The sequence below is a fragment of the Homo sapiens genome, chromosome 12, assembly GCF_000001405.40.
Source record: "Homo sapiens chromosome 12, GRCh38.p14 Primary Assembly".
Taxonomy (NCBI): domain Eukaryota; kingdom Metazoa; phylum Chordata; class Mammalia; order Primates; family Hominidae; genus Homo; species Homo sapiens.
Window position 1 is genome coordinate 124,687,740 of NC_000012.12, and position 8,793 is coordinate 124,696,532.

The following is an 8,793-nucleotide window of genomic DNA, read 5'->3' on the forward strand; positions in this document are numbered from 1 at the left end:
ACCTACAGAACAAAAATGACACGGGATTGGGAGTCAGGCAGATCTGGCCTGTGTTGAGGCCTTCCCAGCCATATGACCTCAGGGAAGTCACCTCCTGTTCTGAGCCCCAGTTTCCTCATCTGTACAATGGCGCAGTGAGACCACTCAAAGTAAAGAGCGCATCGCCTCCCTGAACATGGGGTTACTTTAGGGATAGAGGGACAACGAGGTTGCCCGTGACAATCCCCCCACCTCCCATCCCCCGGAAGCCCACAGTGACTTCAGTTCTCTCAAGTTTGCCCGGGCAGCCGCCCCTCCTCTGCAGCTGCTCCCCAGAGAGTGTGAATGCTTAAACGGCCAATATTTTCCCCGGCTCAGCACAAAGCACCGTCATTGCAGGGCAGCCAGGAAGGGCTGTTAGCTTGATTGGGTTCTTTTTCATCTCCACATCAGCTGTTAAGCGGCTCAGCTCATGCAGGGGAAACTGCTTCTCGACTGCCCAGTGCTGGCGTGGGGCTTGGAGGAGTTGTTAAGAAACAGCAAGAATGTGGCCCCATTGCACACCCTCCAGAGGCCAGACTCTTGAAGCACCCCCTCTCCCAGCTCAAAGCCAGCAATAGCTCTGTATTTCCACCCCAGGCATCGATCCAGAGCCCCCTCCTCCTCCCCCTATGTGCTGATGGGTTCCCCCAACAGGACCCCCCCCCCCATTTCCTCCCAGATCTCTCCTTTCTATTTGAGGAAGAGAATTTTTTTTCCAAAGTCCTCCTGATGTGCTGGAGGTAGGGGAACAGTTACTTTCAAACACACTGGTAACTGCGTCTGCTTCCTAAGGGAAGTGACATAACTCATTCCAATGGGAACATGAATTCCTACATCATCCCCCTCTAATAACAACAAATATAACAAGACAGGTATGGTGCTGAGTGTTTTCCACAAATGCACTCAAGTAAGCCTCAGGGCAACCCTAAGAAAAAGGTATTAGCTGCATTCCCATTTTATAGACCAGGTTACAGAGGCACAGAGAGGGTAAGTAACGTGCTTGAGGTCACACAGCCAATGAAGGGAGGGGCTGCCGTTGGAACTCAGACCTTCTGGCTCCCTGAGCCTGCTCACAAAGGGGAAGGGAAAGGTGGACAAGGCCCGAAGCCAGTTCCTCTGTGAGGCCAGGGCATGCCGAAGGAATAGGGGCCATCTCCTCAGCAGGACACCATAATGAGGCTTTGGAGATGTGAGGGGAGCCCAAGCTTGGGAGGGGCCTGGATAGGAAAGTCTGGGAGCTAGAGTTTCCTGGAGAGGCTGAGAGGAAGAGACTGGAAAACAGGGAAGTTGGAGAATCTCAAAAAAAAAAAAAAAAAAAGTGGAGCAGCGTGGTGCTGTGAAACCACTCCATTCTCCCCAAATTTTAACAAAGTTTGATGCACCCAGAAATAATCCAGGCTAGGGGTAGGGGATGGGAAAGAGGAATCACAGAGAGGTGGGTAGCCAGAGATAAAAACCCAACTTTTAGAATTTTATCATTTTGGGCCGGGCATGGTGGCTCACACCTGTAATCCCAGCACTTTGGGAGGCCAGGCAGGTGGATCACCTGAGGTCAGGAGTTCGAGACCAGCCTGGCCAGCATGGTGAAACTGCGTCTCTACTAAAAATACAAAAATTAGCTGGGCATGGCGGCACACAGCTGTAATTCCAGCTACTTGGGAGGCTGAGGCATGAGGATCGCTTGAACCCGGGAGGAGGCAGAGGCTGCAGTGAGCTGAGATCACACCATTGCACTCCAGCCTGGGTGGCAGAGCAAGACTCCATCTCAAAAAAAAAAAAAAAAAAAAAAAAGAATTTTATCATTTTGTGTAACTAAAAAGTCTAGGGGGTACTTCAGGCATGGCTTGATTCGGGGGCTCAACAAACACCATCAGTCCTTCTGTATCTTGGTGCTGCTTTCCTCTAGACTGGGTTGTCTCTCAGGCAGGTCTGGGCACATCCCACCAGCATAGCAACTCTGCAAAGAGAGACCTTCTTTCCCAAGTGGTTCCAGCAAAAGTCTCAGGGAAGGTTCTTATTGGCCTGACCTGGTCACAGGGACTATCCCTGAACCAATTGCCATGGTAATGGGGCAGAGTCTGCCCCACCCAAACTACATGGGTGAAGAGAAGGAAAGGATTCTTCCCCAAAGGAACATGCAAGGGGACTTTCCTCCTAGAAGGAAACAGTCTGGACAGGGAGGGCCGCAGATGTCTGCTGCAGGGCTGAGTTCCCTGTCTGGGGCCATGAGGTGAGGAGAAGGGAGGAAAGCATAGTCGTAGCACAGACTCCACCAGTGAGGCTGGGAAGTTCCGAGCCAGAGCTCAACAACCAGATGCACTGCCCTGGCTGTCCACACTCACCTGTAACTACACAGAAATCCTGCCAGGGGCACTTGGCTGTCTGCAGAATGGGCGAGAAGAGAGATGCCTAGAAAATAGAGGACAGAGAGGTTGAACAGTAACCTGCCTCAACTTCTCTTTCTGTAAGATGGGTTCAAAAACAGCACCGAGCTCACAGGGCTGTGAAGAGGAAAGGGGTTGATAGCTATGAAGTGCTCAGGACGGTGGCATAGGAAACACGCAATGGACATCTAATTCTTTGCCAACGTGGCCACACAGAACTGCCGTGATCCCACTGCCGCACCTGGGCCTAGGCCTTTTCCTCTGCCACCTTCTCAATCACATCTGGTCCTCCTCCGTGAAGCCTTCCTGGAATTCCCAGTGCGCTCTGGCCAGACCCCTGGAGCCCCACAGCCCTGGGTGTGAGCCCTGGCTCTGCTCCTCCACCCTGAGAAGGTGCCTTCACCTCTGTGAGCCAGCTTTCTCTTCTGGAAAATGTGGATAATTAAAAGCACCTAGGAGGGTACTAGTGCACTCCGAGCAACACCGAGAGGCTGTGGTTTCTCTGGAGCTGGGGTCCCCTTCCTGGCATCTCTCAGTGCCTTGGGGAAACCCTGTCTATGATGCCGAAAGACTCAGATTGTAGTACTCAAGATTCAGAGTGGGCCCAAGGTCTCCCCCAATAGGCTGTGTGACATTGAGTAAGTCACTTTCCCTCTCTGAGCCTCAGTTTCCCCGTGGTAATCCCTTCCTCACAGAGCAGTTTGGAAGCTGGCAGGAGCCTCTGATGCAGTGCCTGAGACAGGCAGATATTCCATCAATGGGCATTCTCTCTTCCCCTAGCTACCGGCACAAATGACACCTTCTCTGAGCAGTCTTCCCTGATTGCCCAGCTGCAGTGAACCCTTGGCATGGTCTCTTGCCTGCACGGTGAACTCCTTGGAAGTTCAGATCAGGCTGCTAGTGCCTTTAGGGTCTCCAGGACCTGGTGCATGTCCCTGTTAATAGTATTCTGGAGATTTTGAGATTGATGACAATGATAATGACAATTTTTAAAATGTCATTTGAGACCTCCTGGGTCTCCTTAATCTTTCTCCTGCTTTAATTTTAGTTTAACTTGACTTGAAGTTGTCTTCAGATCCTCTTTTGCAAGGATGCAAGTATAAACAAAGTCATAAATCCTGCATCTGCTCAGAGCCAGCTCTGACAGGCAAGCCTCTGTGTGCCAGTCTGGAGTGGAATCTCGCCTTCAATGATGACCCTTCAGTTCAAGCAGGGTTTCATGGCCTGTGAGGCTGTTGGCAGTGGGACACACAGATGACCACTTCTTGTCATAGTTGTGTGTTTATTTTAACTAGAAATTGCATTTGGCTGCATATATCAGAAAACCCAAATAACAGTGGCTTACCCAAATAAGAGGTTTCTGTTTCCCTCTTAACAAGACATCTGGAGGTGGCCTGTTCAAGGCTGGGAAGGTAGCCCCATCACTCCATGAATACCCAGGCCCTTTTCTACCCCTTTAATCCTCATAGTCACCTATGGTCACAAAGTGGCTGCTGTACCTCCAGCATTGCATCTAGATTCCAGGCAGGAAGAGAAAAAAGAGAATAGGGCAAAAGACCTGCACTAGCTTCCTGCACTGCCACCCACCCACTTTCACCTTTTAAAGAGCTTTTATGGAAGCCCCACCCAAGGACATCCACTTACATCTTATTGGCCAGAGCTGTGTCGTGGAGCAACCCCTACTTGCAGAGGAAGCTAGAAAAGGTGGGATTCAAACTATCTTGAACAAAATTAGGGTTTTATTAGTGAGGAAGGTGGGGGCAGAGTGGGTGTTGGGAAGGCATCCGGTAGCACGGACCACACATAATCCAAACCTTTGATTTTGCTGGAATTCTTACTTAGACCAGTGGTTCTCACACTTGAGAATGTGTGCAAATCTCTTAGGGGGCTTATGAGAACACAGGGAGCTTCCCCCCGACATCAGAATGCCTGATTCAGTGAGTCCAGGGTGGGCCTGAGTTTACATCTCTAACAAGCTCCCAGGTGATGCTGAGGTTACTGGTGTGGCACCACACTTTGAGAATTGCTGGCTCTCACGGCTCAAGTTGGTACTTGAGTAAAAGCATGTGAGTTGATTTTAGAAGAAGAAAACAGTAGTTTAGATGCATTATCAGTTAGGATCCCACTAGAAAACAGAGGAGGGTATGCTGACACAGGAAATGGAGAAGCGCTAACTAATCAATTATCTGCAAAGGTGTGAGCAGGGGGTAGAGAAGCCCTTCCCCTCCAGTAGCAACAGTGAGGAGCTATCACCACACCTGAAGGTAAGTTACCAGAACCTGAAGAGGGTGGCTGTAAGAGAGGACCACCCCATAGGAGCCCTATCCTTTGTTGGAGGGATGCAGCCAACCTGGGACATTGCAGAGAGGAACTGGGGCTGTAAACACCCCCTGGCCTCTTTCTCTACCTGCTTCCAACCTCTAGCTGGACACCCAAGGGCTGGAAGCCAACAGGCCTAGATGAACAGAGTGAAGATTGGGCCTGGAGTGACACACTAAAGATGTCCAGCACAGACAGAAAATATCATGACACCAGGATATCCAGGAGCAACTGTTTGGCAAACAACAATTTAAAGCAGGCAACTCAGCCAGCTCATTCATTCATTCATTCATTCAATTATTCACTGGGGCACCTGCTGTGTACCAGGCACTTACTAGGTGCCAGGGATTAAGAGATGAATTAATCATGACCCCAATCCAGAGAGCTGCCATCTGCTGAGGTCCGAGGCACTCTGGTGGTGGGCAGGTGGGGTCATCTTCCCCAGTCCCTGCCATAGCCCACCCAGCCAGACTCACGGTGCCTGCCACAGATCTCATCTGCTTGTCACTCAAATTCCACTGTGATTTAATCTTTCATTAAAGTTTAACTATGGGGGAAAGACTGCAAAAAAAAATCACCTGCTCCATCACACATCGCAATGTTTTTATGCACTAAAACAGGAGCTGCAGGAATAGGCTGACGGGATTTGGCTGGGATTAGGGACAAAATGAATCTAAACCACTGGGTGCCCGTGCGTCCCCGTGGGAATACCCTGTAAACCTTTATGCATATAGATTTATATCGGCGAACTCTTGATTATGGTATTTGTTTTCCTGGGCTGCAAACAAAACCTCAGCCCTCAGCGGTCCCCTCGCTGCCGCGTCAGCCGCACACAGAATGTCTCCAGGCTCCACAGCCAATAACAAAAATGATGAAGAATCTGATGCAGACGTGGATAATTGCTGTGGCTTCCTCCCGTGAATTTAAATAGCTTTCTTGAGTTACTGCTTTTGACAAGATCAATAAAATTGAGCTACTGCTGTATCAGGCCTTTCGGCAGATACATAGGGAGCTAGGCTTCTGGGGCTGACTGTTCAACAGTGACCCCAGCTCTCCCAGCAGGCCGGTGAGGGGCTTGGGGGCGTGCACGGAGTGAGGCCAGGAATGGGCTAGAGGGGCCAGTGCAGGACAAACACACGAACTTCAAGATCCTGGCCATGGCTGGATCTCACACTTGTAATGTCAGCATTTTGGGAGGCTGAGGCAGGAGGATTGCTTGAGCCCAGAAGTTCAAGACTAGCCTGGGCAACATAGTGAGACCCTGTCTCTACAAAACTTTAAAAACATTAGCTGGACATGGTGTTCCATACTCGTAGTCCTGGCTACTAGGGAGGCTAAGGCAGGAGGATCCCTTGAGCCCCAGAGGTCAAGGTTGCAGTGAGCTATGATCATGCCACTACGCTGTAGCCAATGTGACAGGGCAATATCCTGTCTCTAAAAAAACAAAAACAGACCGGGCACAGTGGCTCAAGTCTGTAATCCTAATATTTTGGGAGGCCGAGGCGGGTGGATCACTTGAGGTCAGGAGTTTGAGACCAGACTGGCCAACATGGTGAAAACCCGTCTCTACTAAAAATACAAAAATTAACAACTGGGCATGGCAGCGGGTGCCTGTAATCCCAGCTGCTTGGGAGGTTGAGGCAGGGGAATTGCTTGAAACCAAGAGGCGGAGGTTGCAGAGAGCCAACACCGCGCCACTGCACTCCAACCTGGGCAACAGAGTGACTCTGTCTCAAATAAATCAATAAATAATAAAAATAAATAATAAAAAACCAAAAACAAACCAAAAAAACTAGCTCCCAATTGCTGACACTTTCCCTGTATCCCTTCCTCCAAAATTAATTAAGCAAAACTTACCCATATCCTCTGCCTTCTAAAATGACAGGTGGCCAGTGAGGGAACCCAGTCCTTGCTGGGTATTAAAGGGAGGCGCTCAGCACACAGTCCCCACCTTCCAGGAAGCTCATCTGCACTATAACCGAGGCCTCCCGGACACAAAGACTCCCACCACAGGAAGTGGCTCGATGATGGGTTTCACATCTCAAGACCACAGATTCCCTCTAGCAGCGTGGATTTTAGACAGTGGAAAGGTACCAAGATAGAACACTTTTTACCAGGTAATATTCACATGACATAGAATTAACCCTTGCAGCATGTACAGTTCAGTGGTATTTAATCCATTCACCTTTATCTAGTTCCAAGCCATTTTCCTCCCCCAGCCTGTGCAGCTTTGGGCACTTGATGCTCAGCCTCTGTGAGCCTCAGTTTCCTCATCCATGCAGTGGGAACTGACTGCACCTGCCTCACAGGCTGCTGTGAAGATTATGTGGGGAAACAGGGAATGTATTTCACCCAGTGCAGGCCCTTGGGGAGTTTACTGGGGTGAATATCATCCCCGCTCTCCAAATCCATGTCCACCCTGAACCTGTGAATGTGATCTTATCTGGAAACAGGGTTTTGCAGATGGAACCAAGTTAAGATGAGGTCACACTGGAGTAGGCAAGCCCTAAATGAAGTGACTGGTATCCTTATAAAAACAGATGACGCACAAAGGACAGCCAGCCAGTGACGCAGCTGCGTCAAGGAAGGAAGGTCCGGGGTTGCGGGCAGCTGCTAGGAGCTGGAAGGGGCAGGAAGGCTCCTCCGCTAGAGCCTCCAGAGGAAGCACCGCCCTGTGGACACCTTGATTTCTGACTTCTGGCATCCAGAACACTGAGAGAATGCATTTCTGTTGTTTTAAGCCACGCAGCTTGTGGCTTAATTAGTTACGCCAGCCCTAGCCAACAAATAAAGGGAGGCTTCCGCAAGTGGGAGGTGTTCTCATGGTTACTGGAGTTATTCAGCACCCTGACCGGCCAGGAAGGCAGGCTGGGGCAGAGGACCCAAGGAGGCTGAATGGCTGGGGAGAAAGCCCTGGCAGGCTCACAGGGCAGCCCCCCACTCTCCAAGTGGCAGTTCCACAGCCAGCTCCCAAGGTGCACCCCGTACTCTGTCATACCCCCAAACCGTCCCCTCCAGGTACAGGATCAGCTGGGGGCTGTCATGGCCCACGGCAGTTTCCATTGTCTGGGAACCACGCACCTTGCAGCCTCAGGCTTGTTGCTTTTGATTATACACCCCTTCTCTTCTCTCTTTTTTCATTTTTATTTTCATTTAGAGGTGGAGTCTCACTCTGTCATCCAGGCTGGAGTGCAGTGGTGCATTCATAGCTCACTGCAGCCTTGACCTCCTGGGCTCAAGCGATCCTCCTGCCTCAGCCTCCCGAGTAGCTGGGACTGTAGGCATATGCCAACCACGCTCAGCTAATTTTTGTATATTTCTTGTAGAGATGGAGTCTCACTATGTTTGTTGCCCAGGCTGGTCTTGAACTCCTGGGCTCAAGTGATCCTCTCACCTCAGCCTCCCAAATTGCTAGGATTACATGTGTGAGCCACTGCACCTGGCTGGAAGCATAATCTTTAAAAAAAAATTTTTTTGGAGGAATGGTGGTAAGAGGGAGAGTGCTTGAGGCCTGGTTGGAGGGCAAACCGACAGAGGACGAAGCATGTGACAGTCTGGCAGATGGCAGCCCATGGACCTGGGAGCAGATCCCTGGGAGCTGTCCAAGGTGTAAGTGTGAATGGCAGATGCTGTGCTGGCCAGGACGTGCTGGATGAGGCGTCCCAGGGGCATCACAGGACCAAACCTCCCTCCAGCTTCTCAGGCCTCACAGAGGGCTCAGGTCTTGATCAAGGACCGGCTTTGGTGGGTTGGGGTTAGGGTCAGAGGTGGGCATTGAATGAGGGCCAGTCCTAAGCTAAGTTGAGGTGTAGGGCTGGGATGATGAGAGAAGACCCTTTGCGGGTCTTCAGACCTCTAGACTCAAATGCCAGGTGCAGAAGGAGAGGTGAGTCATTTTTGAGAGGAGCTGAGCACAAGTGTCACCTGCCCCTGCTGGAAGCCATTAGCTGACCTCTTTAGACACAGGTGGAGGCTCCTGGGGCAGAACACCAGAATGTCAATCAACATTATTCTCAAGAGGGGCATGGGTCACCTGAAATTAGAGAATCCCCCTGGAGAAGACTGTGCA

The 8,793-nt window shown here is 50.6% G+C and overlaps 2 annotated features.

Annotated features, from left to right (window-relative positions):
- Positions 196–917: an enhancer, noted in NCBI's record as "NANOG-H3K27ac-H3K4me1 hESC enhancer chr12:125172481-125173202 (GRCh37/hg19 assembly coordinates)". NCBI's record gives its function as "activates a minimal SCP1, AML or CMV promoter by ChIP-STARR-seq in primed H9 embryonic stem cells {active_cell/tissue: H9 hESC(primed)}" and the evidence as "EXISTENCE:reporter gene assay evidence [ECO:0000049][PMID:30033119]".
- Positions 7,080–7,581: an enhancer, noted in NCBI's record as "H3K4me1 hESC enhancer chr12:125179365-125179866 (GRCh37/hg19 assembly coordinates)". NCBI's record gives its function as "activates a minimal SCP1, AML or CMV promoter by ChIP-STARR-seq in naive H9 embryonic stem cells {active_cell/tissue: H9 hESC(naive)}" and the evidence as "EXISTENCE:reporter gene assay evidence [ECO:0000049][PMID:30033119]".